The following is a 16,966-nucleotide window of genomic DNA, read 5'->3' as shown; positions in this document are numbered from 1 at the left end:
CTACAGTGAATATTCAGGTCTGTGGGGGTCAGGAGCAGGTCTGAGGCACCTCTCTGTGGAGTACGGGGCTTGTATTTCTGAGTTAATACCTAAGACCCGCCCCCACCTCCCGTTGCTCTCCTCCCATGAACATCATACTCTACAAAGGAACAAAGAAACCTTAATGCAGCATTCAGCAAGTAGCAGGCTGTGTTAAACCGCTTCCTGTGTCTTAATCCAGTTGGTCCTTCATGGTACAATTACAAGGCAGGCACTAGTGTTATCTCCACTGTTCACATGGGGAAACTGAGGCACGGAGCAGCGACAACACCTTCTGCAGGTCATCTAGCCAGCTAGTCAAGGGCTGAGGATTGAACCCAGGTCATCTGTCTGCAAAGCCCATGCTCTCAACCACTCATCACACTGCCTTGGTGGAAGAAAAGAAGTTTGTGGCCTATTTTTCTTAGAGCTGAGTTTAAATGTGTATAAGGAGGGAAAGTTCCTTCCAGTAATTACCATGAAGGCCAAGGTGGCACGGCCCATTTGGCAATTTGAACTTCTCCACTGCAACTGATGACAGATAGTCCTCCGAGAAGGCGGAAGGTTGGCATGTGAAGCCCCAGCGCCTGCTGATTAACAGTCTTGGGTGACTGTGGCGCTGGCTCCCTGATGGCCTCTGGGGGCCATGAAACACCCCTTGGGCAGATGTGAGGCCTCAGTCAGAGGTTGGGTATCAGAGACTCGGTGAGCTGGGGGCACCTGGGGCAGGCAGTTCAAGAAGCACCCTCCACCACCTGCCTTCTCCAAGCAGCTGATGCCCGTGCCAACATCTGCTCCTCTTGGAATTCTGTCCGTTAGCCTCTTTAACGCATCAGGCTAACCCCCAAATTTGTATGTGACAAGACTGTGACGAGAGACTCTAATTAATCAGTGCTTAATGAGGCCCTGCTTACTGCAGCGCCTGGTTTCTCCGAGTGGGGAGAAGTGAGGTGGAAACTGGGAAGCACCGTACCATTTATTTGCTCCAACACTGATTATCACTCTCATTAATGTGACAATGACTGGGCGAGGTAATGATGCCAGCCACTGTGCACCGAGCACCCACCCCATGCCAGGTGCTGAATTGGCTCTGAGGGCATGAAGCCAAGCAAGGGCTGGCTCCTGTTCTCACGGCCCCTGAGGTCTGGTGGGGGAGACAGGTGAACAGGTGGACCATAGATCGTGGTAATGGGGAAGAAGAGACTGAACTGAGCTACAAACAAAGTGCTAGGAGCTGGGGGCATGAATGAGGGAAGGCAAGCTAAGAAGGCTTCCAGGAGGAGGCAGCATATGAGTTGGAAAGTGGGGGGATGAGTAGATGCAACAAGGTGGCATGAACCCAAATGCTTTCTAGCCTGACTTCAATATTACATCAGTTGCTTTTAGTGATTCTGAGTTCCCTCATTTCTTTCCATGTTTCTTACAAAACCTATTCTTGTTTCTAGGCAACAGTTCTTTTTTTTGTTTTTAAATTAATTAATTTTGTGTATATGGGGAGAAAAATACCTAATGTTACCTTCCCAAGATACATAAGAAGGTATTTATTTGACAGGATGGCTATGGGAGGTGGGGGAGAAAAATATGGTTTTATCAGATGGTCTTAATTTGGAGGTCATGGAGAACCTCTCCTAACCTGCAAGCCCAGCAGGGACAATGAGAAGAGGGGCACGCATAGAAGTCCCAGGCTGGTGCACATGGTGCCCAAAGGTGCCAATATCATCATGGGAGCCTCTTCTCAGAGATGCCCAGAAAAGCCTGCTTTGAACGTGAGACCACTCATAGGTAAATGCTGTAGGGGCCAGTAGCTGACGTTGTTGCTTCACCCAGAAGTTATTCTTAGGGATGGCCCAGGAGTCCATGTGCTCACCATGACAGATCAACCCAGCGTTCCCCTGGTGAGTGTGACTCCCCTCTGTGAATAACAGCCGCGGCCTTTAGCTGAGCACTTGCACATGAAGACACTGTGCTGAGGGCCTGATGAGAACTTCCATTAGATCCTCACCATGACCCGCTAGGAGGAAGCATAAACCGAGTGGCAGAGGGCACTAGACCTGACCCGGGTCACACAGCTGGTCACTTTTAGAGCTGGGAGTTGACGTCACACACCCACTTCACCCCGTGCGGCCCGAACCATGCCACTCACCTCTGTTAACATCACGAGGCCCAGAAAATAGGAGATAACAGACAAGGCTAGGATGAGCAGCTCCCGCCGGTAACCCCTCCGGAAAACCTTGGGGTACATGTCCACCACGGCGGTCACCAGGCTTTCCACACACACAAACTGGATGGGGAGATATGATGGTGTGAAACTCAAGGACAAGGCTGCTCCTGGTGGCCCAGGCTCTGGGCAAGCGCAGCAGGCCTGAACCCTGGGCTTCCTTCATTCCCACACCCATTAATGCAGACGAGGGGCCTGAGGATAACAGTCATCCCAGCACTAGCGGAGCTCCAGTCATGCCCATTTAACAGATGACGACGCTGAGGCTCAGAGGTGGGGAGTGACCTGCCCAGGATTATTCAGCAAGGACGTGGCAGTCAGGACTTGAGCTGGTGTCTCCAGACTCCAAATCTAGTACTCCTCCTTCTCCCGCATGCTGCCTGTCACATGCCTACATGCTGGGCTCTGTGCTGGGGTCGACAACTTAAATGAGACCAGCCCCTGCCCTTGAGGCAAGGCTGGGATTTCTGTGCCTGTAGTGGGAGTTACGTGCTCTGCTGATGGCAGGCTCTGGTCTGTCTCTGTGGTCTCCGGGGTTGGGACGCTTCCCTGCCCTTTCTTTCTGGCAGATGAGGCCCCTCTGCTGGTGGAGGGCAATCAGAGGTGAGCCAACTTCCAGCTCTTTGTCTCTGCTGGGTGTCTTTGGGCCCCAGCCAAACGATGCAGGCATCAGTGGCTGAGTCTGAGCCACTAAGCATCTGTATCCCGTGTGCTAAGCACAGGGCCAGGTACAAGGTATCTGCCCAGTTCCTACCCACCCATTAACAGCCAGCCTGAATATCCTAAGATACCGACCACCCCCTCACCTGGTTCTTATGGCACTGGGGGCAGATCTGCATGAACCTTTTCCTGATCACTCTTGTCCCCCACTCAGGACAGCCCATCCCTCTCCTCTGCGCCCTGAGCACACCCCTCACCCTGGGGGCCCTTTCCTGCTTATATCTGTCTCCTTACAAGCAGGTGGGATCCTGGAGGGAAGGGGCCACATCATTGTCATCTGTCTATTTCCTGTGTCTAGCTCAGGGCCCCTGGCACAGAGGAGGGAGAGGCTCAGGAAATGTTTGCTAAATTAATAATAATAACACGAATAATAGCAAACATATCATACCTGCGATGTGCCAGGCTGTTTTAGGCAGTTGGCATACATTAACTTATGTAGTCTCTACATGGTCTGTACTATTATTATTCCCATTTTGTAAATGAAGACACAGAAGCACAGAGGAGGGAGTAAGCAATTTACCCAAGGTCACCCAGGCGATAAGTGGCAAAGCCTGGATTTGAACGAGGTGATCTTGCTCCAGAGCTGGGCTTTACCCACCCCACTGCCCTGCCTTGAGGGAGGGAGGAGGAGTTAAGGGTTATTTTGCCAGCCACCTTTTTGGGAAGCACCCCTTCCCTGGAGCTATTTGTCGGCTCCAAATCCTTTCTGATTCACCTCTGCCTCCCCAGAAAAGGTGTTTCAATACTCCTTGTGCAGACAAAGGGAATGAGGCACAGAGAGGCGAGGTGACTAGCCCAAGGCACACAGCTGGCAAGTCATGGGGCTGGGACTCAAGCCCAGGCTATGGCCTCGCAGCTGCTCCGCCTCAGCAGCAAGGGCTGGCTCTGTCTATCCTTTCTCCAGGTCCTAGGGAAGAGGATGGGATGCAAAGGAGGTTGTTTATCCAGGATTGAAACTGATGAGACACTGCAGTGTGTAGGCCAAGAGGCAGACGGGCCCGGGTACACGACCGAGCAAGTCACTCAGTATCTCTGAACCTCAGTTTCTTCTTCTATAAAATGCAGACAATGAAAGGAGCCCCCAGCCCGTGTGGTTATTGTGACAATGAACTGAGAATATATCCAAGGCACACAGCAAGGGCAGCACGCATGGGGATAGGCAGAGTGGCCGCCACTTTTTGTGCCAGACCTCGGGCCCCCAGGCCCAACTGCTGGTTTAGCTCAGCCCAGGGACTCGCCGAGCCGGGGCCCCAGCCCCTGCCTCCCTCTGCCAGGCAGGCCTGGCCTGTCACGCATAAGCTGCCAATCCCTCCGAGACCTCTGCCCGCAACAGCAACAATAAGGGAAGATTATCAGCAGAAACACCCGGTGATTTGGCTTAGCAGCTTCTGGGAAACCGATCAGAGGAAGAAATTGAATTGGACTTGGCTGGCTTGACAGATATACTGGCTGTGGGGCTTGGGTGCCAAGTGACTCAACTGGCAGAAGGTCATGGGTGAGGGCGGCACTCCCACAGGCTGGGCTGGGTGTGTCTCCCTGGGGGTCTGACTGCTTTGCCTGCAGAGGCCCCTGCACAGCACAGCACTGGTTGGCCAAGAGACCCCAGTCTCCGAGGCGGGGAGGCTGTGGCTGGGGGAAGTTCTCCAGGGCTCCTAGGGAAAACAGCTGTGAGGACCAGCAGGCAAAGGGTGGGTTTCAGGGACTGTTGGGGGAATGGTCTGGGAAAGAGGCCGGGGACCTGGGATGGGAGTCTGGAGTGTGCTCAGTGCGGGAAGCGAGCGCCTGCGTGCTGTGTGGCAACAAAGGGAAACCGAGTGCATGGGTGAGTTACTAGCTCCAGGTCTACCCCCTTCGCCAGGGAAGGAGGCTGCCAAGCAGGGGGAGGTTGGCAAGGGGCCTCTAGGGAGGGCCGAGCACAGAGACAGGCAGGCGGTGGCGGGGCAGAGCTGGTGGTGGCATCCAGGACAGAGATGGAGGAAGAGGAGGTGCTTTTCTATGTGTCCGTGTCCTCAATGATTGGGTTGGGATGGGGACATGCATGCTGTGGAACTCACTCTCTGAGACTCTCTTCTGCTGTGCCAGGCAGTGCTGTTGGCAGGAGTGGTTGAGCAGAAGGGAAGTATTTAGCAAATTTTTCTAAATGTGAATTGAGAGTTGGGAATTCCGGTAAGGAAAACAGTGTTTGGGAAGGCTTAGAGGGGCCGGAACAGACATTTGTGGGTAAGTGTAGAGCCCACCTGGTGGATGGCGGGGGTGCAAGAGTTGCTGGGAGGGAAGTGGAGGGTGGAATGGGGGACGGTGGGCAGGGCCCTGATGCCAGGGCCAGGTGGGAGTGGCTGGGCCTGGGGAGCCACTCCTAAGGGTGGCGTCTGGCCTCCTGGCCCAGGCTCCCCTCCCTCCTGGGCTCCCCATCCCCATGGCCCCTTACCTGGCTGTCCAGGCCCAGGAAGATGAGCATCATGAAGAACAAGGTGGCCCACAGCGGGGAGAGAGGCATCATGGTGACCGCCTTGGGGTACGCAATAAAGGCCAGGCCGGGGCCTGGAGCGAGGGAGAGAGAGAAAGCCACTGGGTGGAGTCCCATCCCTCATATCATTGCTATTTTAATCCAGCATTTACTGAGTGCCTCCTCTGCGCCAGGCACTGTGCCTGCCTCTCACTCAAATCACTTCTGTTTCCCAGCCACCCCATGCGTTTGGTGCTATTCTGATGCCCATTTTGCAGATGAGCAAGTTGAGGCAGAAAGAGGTAAACAAGGGCCTTGGAAGGGTCAGGATTCAAGCCTAGGTTCAGCTGATCCATGGACCTTCCTCTGGACATGTCTCTACTGTTCTCAAGGGGGAAGGTGCAGTTTCTTGTTAAAATGCAGATTCTCAGGCCTACCCAGCGATTCTGACTCTGTCTGCCCAGGGGGAGGCAAGGACCAGGTACCCAGTGGTTGTGGTGTACGTAGGTCGGGTCCAGGCTGGAGAAATGCTCTTCCACCCTGGCAGCCTCTTCCTCTGGTTTCCACTCTCATTTCCAGGTCTACACTCCCTTGTTTTAGTTGCTGCACATAGAAGGCTGGGTTAACGTGTCCTCGGGATGAACTTTATCAATGTCAGCAGACAGATACCTGAGAGGCTAGCCCTGTGGCACAGTGGTCAACAGCACAGGCTCTGTAGCCAGGTGGCCTGGGCTCAAATCTGTTTTCTTAGCTGAAATATGGGGATAATAAAGTCCTATCTAAAAAAAGTGGTTTTGAGAATTCAGTGAGATGACACAATAAATGGAAAGCACTGAAGCAGGTAAATGCTTAATAGACATGAAATCTGATGATTTTTTACTTTAAAGAGCAGCTTCATTAAGGTATAATTTACATACATAGTTTGATGAAGTTTTAAAAAGTGTATACACCCAGATAACCACCACGACAATCAAGCCATGGCAATCAAGCTATAGAACACTGCCATTGGCCCCTTGAGGCCCCTTGCTGTCTCTTCGCCTCCGTTCCTCCTCTTCACGTTGGGCAACCATCAATTCAATTTTTTTTCGTCCTCGGACTAGTTTTGCCTATTCTACCTAGAAGTGGAATTGCTGGGTCATATGGCAATCATATGTTTAACGTTCTAAGAAATTCCAAACTGATTTTCAAAGTAGCTTTGCCATTTTACAGTCCTACCAGCAATGTTTCCAATTTCCAGTGGCTCCACATCCTTGTCAACACTTGATATTGTCAGTCTTTTAAGATGTGTCATTACAGTGGGAGTGAGATGTTATATCATAGTTTTCATTTGCATTTCCCTGATAGTTAATGACATCGAGTATCTTCACATGTTTATTGTCTATTCATATGTCTTCTTTTGTGAAGTGATGGCTTGATTTTTTGGTCCTTTTTTTTTCATTAGGTTGTTTTCTTTTTATTTGATTGTGAGCGTTCTTTATATGTTTAGGATGTAAATCCTTTGTCAGAGGAGTTATTACAAATATTTTCTCCCAGTCTGTGGCTTGCCTTTCCATTTTCTTAATGGCGTCTTGTGAAGAGCAGAAGTTAAAAACTTTCCAATTGTCTCCTGCTAGCATGTAAAGAAGTATAATATATTTTATCTATTTTGTCCTTTGACCTCTCTAAGTTCACTTATTACTTTTTTTGTAGGTTCCTTAGGATTTTTGACTCGGTCAGTATGTTTATCAAGAAAATTTTTATTCTTCCCTCTAATTATTTTTCTTGTTCTTGCCTTATTGCACTCTCTAGGAACTTCATTGCCATATGGTATAGAGGCAGAGACAGCATACATCCTTGCTTTGTTTCTGATTTTAGGGGAACACTTTCAATATTTAATAACTGGTAAATTAATATTGGTATAATACCATTAATTACGCCACAGAGCTTATTCATATTCTGCCAGTTTTTCTCCTTTTGCCCCCTTTTTTTCTGTTCCAACATTTAATTCAGAACTCCACATTGCGTTTATTGGTTGTATCTCTTTAGTCTTCTCCAGTCTGTGGCAGTCCCTTAGTCTTTTTTTGGTCTTTGCTAAACTCAACATTTTTGATGAGTTCTGGTTGTTGTTTTGCAGAATGTCTCTTGATGTGGGTTGGTCTGATGTTTCCTCATGACTTATGGTGAGGTTGTGCATCTTTTGGCTAGAAAACCACAGCAGTGATGTTATATCCTTTCTGGTGTATTATATCGGGGGTACATGTCAATCAATATTATTACTGGTGATGTTTACCTTGATCACTTAAGGTTAAGGTTAAACTGTTGTCTGCTAGGTTTCTCCACTATAACATTACTCTTTTTCTCTTTGTAATTGTTAACGCTCCTGCAGGAGGAAATATTTTGAGATTATGAAAAAATCCTGTTTCTACTCCAACTTTTACCTACTGATTTTAGTATCCATTGGTGGGTCTTGCCTGCAACCATGATTACAATGGTGTTTGCCTAATGGTGATTTGATATTTCCCTCATTCCTTCTATATTTATTAATTATAATTCTTCTCCAAGGAATAGCTGTCCTTTCACACCATTTATTTATTCAATTATTTATATATGTGAATGTGGACTCCTGAGTAGTTTATTCTATGGGTTAAAATCCAATACTATCATTTATTTTGCTGTTCAAGTTATTTCAGTTTTAACCATTGGGAGTTCCTTCAGGTTGATTTCCATGGCTTTTTGACAAGCCTCAAACCTTTCTTTCTGAGCACTTCCTTATTTTTTGGCATCACAAAAATGTTCTAGCTTCACCTTGTCTTGCCCTAGCCCGGAAATCAACTGTTTTGCCAAGGAGCCCTGTGTTTTTTTTTTTTTTAATTGAAGAATAGTGTTTAGAAACCAAGATCTGAGCCCTAGGTGTGCTCATAACTGTGGAGTATTATTGCTTTTAGGCCCTCTCAGCACACAAAGATAGGAAATATATGTATATTTATCCATGCATATACACATGAATATTTCTATATCTATCTGTACATAGATGAAAACCATGAATTTTAATATATTGATACTTCCAATTCCAATAAAAGACATTCTAGCATCTCTCCTTTCCTTATTTATAACTTCTTTCTCAGTGAAAAATCTGACTAATTATCTATAAAATATTTACCTATTTGTTCAATCCTAATATACACACTTACAACAGTTGTGGAATTGCTACCCCTGTACTAACTGGAGCACAGTATCGTTATTTTTGTCTTTAGCCTTAAAATATCCAGTCAAGATGCTGTTTCTCAAAGTTACATAGGTTAGTTTTTCCTTCCCCATTCCCTTTAGCATGGTGACAGTTTTCATTTGTAGTACAGTTAGGTTCATTTGTTACTGTTTGTATTCCATTTAGGGTTCCACCACAAAAAAATCATTGTTTGAGTGGTATGTGAAACATTACCAAGACTCAGAGCTAATAAAAAAAATGATATATTCAGGGAAGCACTGCTTCCTTCTCATTCTTCCTCCCTCATTCCCATTCCTCCCTTCTTTCCACCCCTTTTCCGACCACCCCTGAAGGTAACCATCCTTGTTTGTTTCTAGTTAATCCTTTCTGTATTTCTTTTGCACAAATGAGTAGACATATTTTCTCTTCTCCCCTTCTTTTTTCACATAATGGGTAGGATACTATAGATATCTGCTTTTTAAAAACTTTTACACACACACACCATTTCAAAAAGTACTCCTCAATTTCTATTTTCTTGATTATTTTATATTGTAAATGGGTGTCAAATCTTGTTAAAGGCTTTTTAAGCATTGATGAAGCTAATCTTATGTTTTTTTGTTAGATCTATTAACATGGTGCATTATATTAATGGGTCTCAATTTCATGAAATACATTGATGCTTGTTTTATGGCATAGTATATGGTCTATCTTGGTGAATGTTCCATGTCCACTGGAAAAGAATTGTGCTCTGCAGGCACTGAGTGCACTGTTTGATAAATATCAATGAAGTCATTGTGGTTGATAGTATTGTTCAGATCTCTATGTCTTTATTGACATTTCATATAATTGTTCTATCATTAGTTAAAGAGGGGTGTTAAAATCTCCAACTATGCTTGTGGATTTGTCTGTTTTCCCCTCCAGTTCTATCAGTTTTAGCTCCCTATATAACAAATCTCTGCTTTCAGGTACAAACTCATTAGGATTGTTATGTCTTCTCAATGAATTGCCCCTTTTATCAATATGAGGTGTTCCTCTTTATCTCTGCTAATATTTTTTGACTTGAAGTTTACTTTGTCCACACTAATAGTCAAGCCAGTTTTCTTATGTTTATTGTTTGAATGGTATATCTTTTCCCATTCTTTTATACTTTATCTGTGTCTTCAAAGTGTGTCTCTTTTAGACATGTTATAGTTGGGTCTTTTTTTAAAAAAAATCTGGTCTGATAATCTCTGCCTTTTAATTAGTGTATCTGGTCCATTTAAATTTAATATAAGAATATGGTTGGATTTAAGTCTACTATTTTGCATTTGTTTTCTTTTGGTTTTCTGTTTTTCTTTGCTTATTTTGTTTAGTTTTACTCTGTGGCACTTTCCCGCATTCTTTTGGGTTAATAAATATTTTTAATTTTCAATTTTGTTTCATCTACTAGCTTTTTAGCTCTACCTCTTATTATTTTTCTCTAAACAATTGGACCAAGACTATATGTCATAACTTATTCGAGTTAATAACATATCACTTTGCACTTCCACCACACATCTGACACTTCCCACTTCTGATTATTATTCTGACATTTTCTGCCCTAAAACAGACCTCAGGACCTAACCACATCAATCATTACAAAATACAAGTGGACCACATACTCCAGTTAAGAGATTATTAGGCTGGATAAAGAAGCAAGACCCAACTATAAGCTGTGTAAAATCATTCCCCTAGAAGAGAGCATCCTGAGTGTAACAGCATCAGAGAGACAGATGCAGGGCATGCAGGGAAGGTCAGCAAATCTCAGGCACTAGGCTTAGAACAGAACAAAATCTGAACCCTGCAAATAGTACATTCTGTCTCCCTGGCTCAGTCTCCGAAGTGTTCTGGGACATCCCACTGAGTGTTCTGGCATCTAATTAAGTATTTTCCAAAAATCATGCCTCAGAAAGTGAGCCCAGGTCCTTCTGAGAAAGGTGAGGTGACTACATATTCAGCTGTAACTTGCATTTTCTCCAATTGGCAGACTCCTAAAGAGGGTCTTGGTGTGATCCACACCCCCAACCAGAGGCACAGAGCAGGTTTTCCTGCTTGATGCCAACAGCAACACAAAAAAGCAAGGCAGAAGAGACCGGATCCAGGCTGCACTGCTTATGGACTACATGCTCTTGGATGAACCACTTCATCTTTCTCAGCTACAAGGTCCTCGTCTGTGATAGGCACTGTAAAAGCTAGGACTGCTGTGTGAATAGTGCCTGCTGGAGTTGTGCAGGGCATAGTCTGCACAGCCACGAGTGGAGGCCCTGGTAAAACCTATGTTGCAGAGGTGCCAGGAGCATTTCATGAGGTAGTATATGAAAAAACAACTATCTTACGGCCTGACAAGTGGGACAGAGAAAGTCAATTCCAGTGTATCAATTCAATGGAATACCACACAACTCAATGATAGCAATCTATTTTTACTGAGGGGTAAGCTCCTCATGCTTTATTATAAATGGAAGAACTCAGCCTACATAATGCCAAGGATAATATGATCCAGTTTTGATCACCACGCTTATAGCTACATATGTATGAAAAATCCTAGCGGGATAACCCCAAGGTGTTGCGTTGGATTTGAATTTTTTTTTCTTCTGTTAATGTTTCTCTGTTTTTCCACAATGAGTATTCTTTCAATTTGAATAAGAAAAAGTCCAAAATTTAATTTTAGTTGGATTTTTTTCTTCCTATTACTCCTCTCTGGGACTCCCCTCCAAAACAGAAGCAATGATAAAATGAGCAACAGCAGTGCTGTGGATACTCTGTCTCATGCAACACTGCGAGGGAGTTTCAGGGTGCGCACTTTACAGAGGAGGACATGGATTCTCACAGAAGCAATGCTACTACTGAGAAGGCAATGATCCCTCCTCGCAGGGCTGCCTGTGGTTGAATATGAGGAAGATGCAGAGGTGTTTTGTGAAGGGCTAGGTGCCCCAGCCACAGTGGGATGGAGTGGGAAGTACATGAGTTTGATAGCCAGATGGCCTGGATTAAGTTCCAGCTCTCTTGCTTCCAGCCTGTGTGTCCTTAGTTAAGTGACCTCACGTCCCTGAGCCTCAGTTTTCCCATCTGTAAAATGGGGGTAGCAAAAATGCCACTTCAGAGGGCTGAGCTGAGCATCATGTGAGATGATGTGTGTAACAGTTCCTGTCCAGTGAATAGGTGCCCAGCGATTGAGAGCTTTGATCATACTCGTATCCTCTGGTCTAGCTTGTACGCCTGATTTCCTCAGGGGCCCTTGCATCTCTGATAAACATGACCAAGAGCAAGGTGGACTCTGAACAGTCATGGAGCAGAGCTTGCTGATCAGCTGCCTCCTTTGACATCCACACCCCTTGGCCTGCCTATTTTGGTGGGTCAGAGGGGTGCTTCCCTGACTGCACATGCCAAACCTAAATAGCCACACCCTGGACTGGGGCTTGAGAGGGAGGTGGGTCAGTTGTCACAATGAGTTGGGGCAGGACTGGCCTTGAGTAGACGGAGGCCAGGGAGGCCAGATGCCCTGTGCTGGTCTTAAAAAATATGTCCCACTGGACATGCTTGTAGGTGAAAAACCTATTTATACTTATCTGAGGTTAGACTCCATTTGTCATGTAAACACAAACTATGTACTTTTTCATATGCACTTAATTTTCTGGAAATTCAAATACCATGGAAATCACGGAAAGAGTTTTTCACCATTTTGCACAATCACTCAAACAATGATAACCCTGCTCTTGGTGGGTTTGCTACAAACACATGTCAATCTATACTTAAGGCTGTCACACTCATGGTGATTCTATGTCTAGAACAGGGAAAGGGAGGGAGGGAGAGGTGCTCTCCAAGCAAAGGGGAAGCATGTGCAAAGGCCCTGAGGGAGGAGGAGAGAGTTAACTTGCAGAAGTGAAGCAGACCGCTGTGGTGGGACCGAGTGAGTGTGGGGGAATCGTAGGTGGTGAGGCTGGTGGGGCCACAGGAGCCGGGCAACACAGGGCTTTGTGGCCACGCTGAGTCCAGCACTATGAGAAGCCAAGAAAGGCTTTTCATCAGAGAAGACATGTTCAAATTTGCATTTTGAAAAAAAAAAATCCCTCTGCAGGGTAGAGCATGGAGTGGAAGTGACAACAGCAGAGGCACAGAGTCCAGGGAAAGGTTTCTGAGCCATCCAGGTGAGCAGTGATGGTGGTCCGGGCTAGTGGGGAGACGGTGAAGCTTGGGAGAAATGAATGAAGTGGGCAACAGCATCTACAAAACTCGGGGATGCCTTGGATTTGGGAGGGAGGAGGTGTCGAGACTTTCCTCCTAGGTAATTCCCAGGATCCTGGATTGTGGATGAATGGTGGGGCCCCTTTCTGAGGCCTGAATCCAGGAGATGTGTGAGCCGAGGAGGAAGATCGCATTTCCATGATGACCATCACTCCTGGCCTCCCTTGCCGCCTTTTCCATCCCCACCTTTGGCGAACTTACCTGACTCTGCCACCTCAGCAATGGGTACCCCCTGCTCGTACGCCATAAAACCCAGGACTGAGAAGATGGCAAACCCAGCCACGAAGCTGGTGCCGCTGTTCAGGCAACAGAGCATGATGCAGTCCCTGTGGGGAAGCAGCGAGAGGCACTAGGGTCAGAGCGGGCAGAACCGGTGCACGGCTCAAACGTTCTCCACCCGAGCACCATGGCTGTCCTGTGAGGCAGGCAGGGAAGTGCAGGCACAGGGAGCTCTGTTTTTCTGATGGAGCACTCATGGTTCAGAGAGGTTAGGTGGCTGGCCCATGGTCACACAGCTTCTCCTGAATTTCTAGAAGGTAAGGTAGGTCACGAATCAGAAGCATAGAGCCAGCATGGGAAGGGAGGCTGGCATATGGGAAAATGCAGAACTAATGAGAAAATACTCTGAAACACACCGACGCTCCTCCAAGTCCCTGGTAGGAGAGAAAGGCTGGGAAAGTATTCCTGGGAGCTCAAAGCAAGGAGGGCAGGAGAAGCCTCCATGGGAGAAATGGGGGCTTCTCAGCCAGGGGAGAAACCATGGGCCTTGCACCTGAAGCTCCGGCAGCCTCCGGGGGAGAGGCTTTATGGTGACATTCTTCCTGGCCAAGCTGTTTACTGGAGCAGCATCTGCCAGACCGCAGTCTGGCTCTGCTCTGCTGCTGTGAGCGAGCAGCCCCTTCCAGGTTGAACCCTTGCATGGAGAGGTTTATCAGAGCAGTGACTGTCCCCTGCTCTTGGGAGCGGGGGGACTCACCAGCTAAGAAGCACCAGCATAAAGCCATGGCCCAGGAGAAATCAGACTAGAAACAATGGAACTTTGTCAAGATGAAGACGGTACCCTCGAGTCCCGGCCTGTCCTGCCTCAGGCCCAGCATCCTAAAATCACCAAGTCAGGAAGTTAGCCTGTTAGAATTTCAACCACTGTAGTGCCTGGACTGAGACTTAGGCATACAATCCATGTTAATACCCCATTTTATAGGGGAGGAGCTGCCAGGTGACCTTGTTCAACCTCCTGCCAGAGGCATGACTAGCCTCCATGGCATCCCTGCGGGTGGCCGGCTGACCTCTGCTTGCACACCCAGGCATGAGGAGCCAGCCATTTTTTCCAGTGGTACTTTCCCCTTGTTGGACAGCTCTTACTGCTTAGCGTGCTAAGAACTTTCTCATATTGTATTCACCCATGCTTGTTCTCTCTGATAAAGTTAGCTTTACCCTCCAAAACAGCCTGGAGTTCCTTCAGGCTTGGGAGATCTGAAGATAATGGCCCTATAGCCCCTTGAGTTTTTTGTTCTGTGTTACACATTCCAGTTCCCTTACCAATTCCTTATTGTGCTTGAAATCTGTAATACACTCCAGCTTATCCAGTCCCTCCTCAATTGTCACATCCAGAACTATTCTCAACAACACACCAGGACTCTCACCTCCTCTTCTTCTGACATCATAGTTTTTATAAAGCAACCAAAGGTTACATTAATGTTGTTCTTGGTTGTTAACACCCTGTTGCCTTGCAATGACCCTAGGAATCAAGGGTAAAGTAGAGAGAGCATTGAACTGGTGGTCGAGAGCCTTGGGTTCCAATTCTCCCTGCAATATTTTTTCTTCGAACCTGATCTCACTGGCTATACAAGGTGCTTGGATAACAGAATTTCTTGACCTTGCGCTAGATCAAATCATTTTTCAGCAAGGAATCACTCTCACAACCTTCTTCCTTGGAGTGAAGTATATTTCCCTGCCCTCACTGACTTTGGGCTTAGCCACATGACTTGCTTTGGACAACAGGATGTTAGCAGATGTGACATAAACAGAGGCTTGAGATGGGCTTGCATGATTGGATTTGTCCTATATCATTTCTGTGATTTTCTATGAGAACTTCCCCAGGGGAGCTGCTACCCCTTCGGCCTGGACCCCAGAATGTACACACGTGGAGCTGACTTGAGCCTGGCTTGGACCTTGGAGCCAAACCCAGGGTCTTTCAGTCTACAGCCTGCAGGAGAGTCTCCTCAGCTGACCAGCAGACTTGTGAGCAATACAAGCAATCACTTGCTGTGGTCAACCCCTGTGTGCTGGGGTTGTTTGTTACATAGCAGTATTGTGGCCATGGATGACTGATACAGGTCCCTTCAAATAACTCTTCTGGTACTGTGAATGCTGGCTGGGCTGGTATAAGTGGGGACTTTATCTGCAAGTCTGATTTACCTCTGCTCAAAAAGAAATTCAGCTATGCCCAGGCAAGGGCAGAGTTAGTTATTCCTAAGGTTGGGATACATCTGCTCCTTGTGCCTGTTTCCTGAAGTCTGAGGCAAAATGGCCCTGACTTATCAAATAGTGGACATTGGATGATACCAGGGAGGAAAGCCTTTGTCTACAGCCTCTCCATTCTGGAATTCTCCCACGTGATGCTTTCAGGACCTGCAGTATGCCAGCCGTGGACTAGGTTTCACTGAATCCTGAGGCTGAGGGAGATGAGTCACATAGATCAAAGCCCATGCTTTTGCTAGGAGCTAAACAAAAATGATGCACCCTAAAAATTAAGATGAACAAATCCTCACTTTAAAAAATTGTCTCTGGGCATCCACACAGGTGTTGAAAAACAAATTGTCCCTTGTTAAAAAATTCCCATCTTCCTGCACAGGTCTGTTGAGTGACTTCCTCACATTATGGAGAGACAGAAGGAGAGACAGAGAAGCTCTTTAGGGACCTGAGGTCCCTTCCAGCCCCATGCATGACCAGTCCCTCCTCCCCTCCAGTCCTCAGAACACCCACCCCTTCAAGCAGACAGGGCTTAGTGGTGTCTTCGGAAGTGAGGATTTTCCCTGCCTGGCTCGCTCCCATTTCCATCCCTCTAATTCCTTCCCCAGCTCCCACGTCTAGGTAAAACGCTTATGTAACAGTGCTTTGAAGTCGGCAGGCACTGAGCTGGGCTTTTAAGACCTCCAGAAGCTATTATGCTGTCAGGAGAGAGGGTACTAATTTACTCCACTGGAGTTGAGAAGACCCACTTGCAGAACAATTTGGAAAAGGAAATAAAATGAATTTTCTAATTTTTGCATTGCCACCCAGGGGATTTGCTTTCTTCTGCTGATGGGAGAGATGGAATAAAACCTGCCTGCTGGAGGGGGAAGCAGAAGGGACCCATGGCTGACAGCATACATCCTCCACGCACTCAGTGGGGAATGAAGCTGCCACTGCCCCAAGACACAGGCTGGAGACAAGGCAGTTTTGGCCAAACCCTCTTCAACTCCAGTAGCTGGGAAAGAGCTGGCCACCCCTGGTAGTGAGGAATGGGGTGCAAGAGCCAGGAAGACTCAGGTGAAAAGCCACGCTCCATCTGTGGCAATGTGAACAGGAGTAAGGGACTCGAGCTCCACGGGCCACCATCTCCTTGCTTATGTAATGGGGTGGTTTCTTTCTGACTGCCCTGCATGGAAGCCAGCACTAAACTAAGTACAAGAGATGCAGCAGACAACAAGAACATCCAGCCCACGTCCTCATGGTGCTGACAGCCTAGCTGGAGGGGACAGTGACCAAGTGATCTCTGAAGGGCCCAGCACAGAGGTCCCCATGCTGACCGTAAGCCACCGATGGGGTGATACTGTACACAGACAGTGTACATTTGAAAGAACTCCCAAGGGGGTCAGACTTGGCCCAGCCCGGAAGCCTGCATGTGCTGTTCTTCCTATCTGGGTGCCTCTCTCTCTCTTCCTGTCCATGGTTAACATTTTCATTATGGCTGACAAAGAGCTTTACTTCTCATCCCCCATGCCCACATCCTCCACAAAACTAGATGCCTTCTTCTGGACAGCCTGCTCTGTCTGTCTTTAGCATCTCATTGTCATCCGGTCACCCAAATACCTCTCACCCAAAGAACCCCAGAAGCAGAACTCACGGCGGCCTGATG

General features: G+C 47.3%; 1 protein-coding gene and 1 long non-coding RNA gene across 4 annotated transcripts in view; one reads left to right on the top strand and one right to left on the bottom strand.

Annotated features, from left to right (window-relative positions):
* The window catches only part of SLC6A11 (solute carrier family 6 member 11), a 124,487-nt gene that overhangs the window by 9,214 nt on the left and 98,307 nt on the right, over positions 1-16,966 (bottom strand). For 2 of the 3 annotated variants that reach the window (NM_014229.3, XM_047448764.1), the window contains 3 exons: positions 13,048-13,172; positions 5,385-5,497; positions 2,162-2,299 (listed from right to left, as the gene is read on the bottom strand). In NM_014229.3, coding sequence (NP_055044.1) covers positions 2,162-2,299; positions 5,385-5,497; positions 13,048-13,172 — 376 coding nt within the window. Of the gene's footprint in view, positions 1-2,161; positions 2,300-5,384; positions 5,498-5,519; positions 7,583-13,047; positions 13,173-16,966 lie in introns of those variants that run through there. The other variant, XM_011534033.3, reaches the window with a different exon arrangement.
* LOC105376950 (uncharacterized) lies at positions 2,776-16,435 on the top strand. The gene is made up of 3 exons (XR_940587.3): positions 2,776-4,644; positions 12,680-12,749; positions 16,129-16,435. It is a non-coding gene; the product is annotated as an uncharacterized LOC105376950 (long non-coding RNA).

Source organism: Homo sapiens, chromosome 3, assembly GCF_000001405.40.
Source record: "Homo sapiens chromosome 3, GRCh38.p14 Primary Assembly".
NCBI lineage: Eukaryota > Metazoa > Chordata > Mammalia > Primates > Hominidae > Homo > Homo sapiens.
The sequence above is the reverse complement of the archived record's forward strand: the minus strand, read 5'-3'. Positions and strand labels throughout refer to the sequence as shown.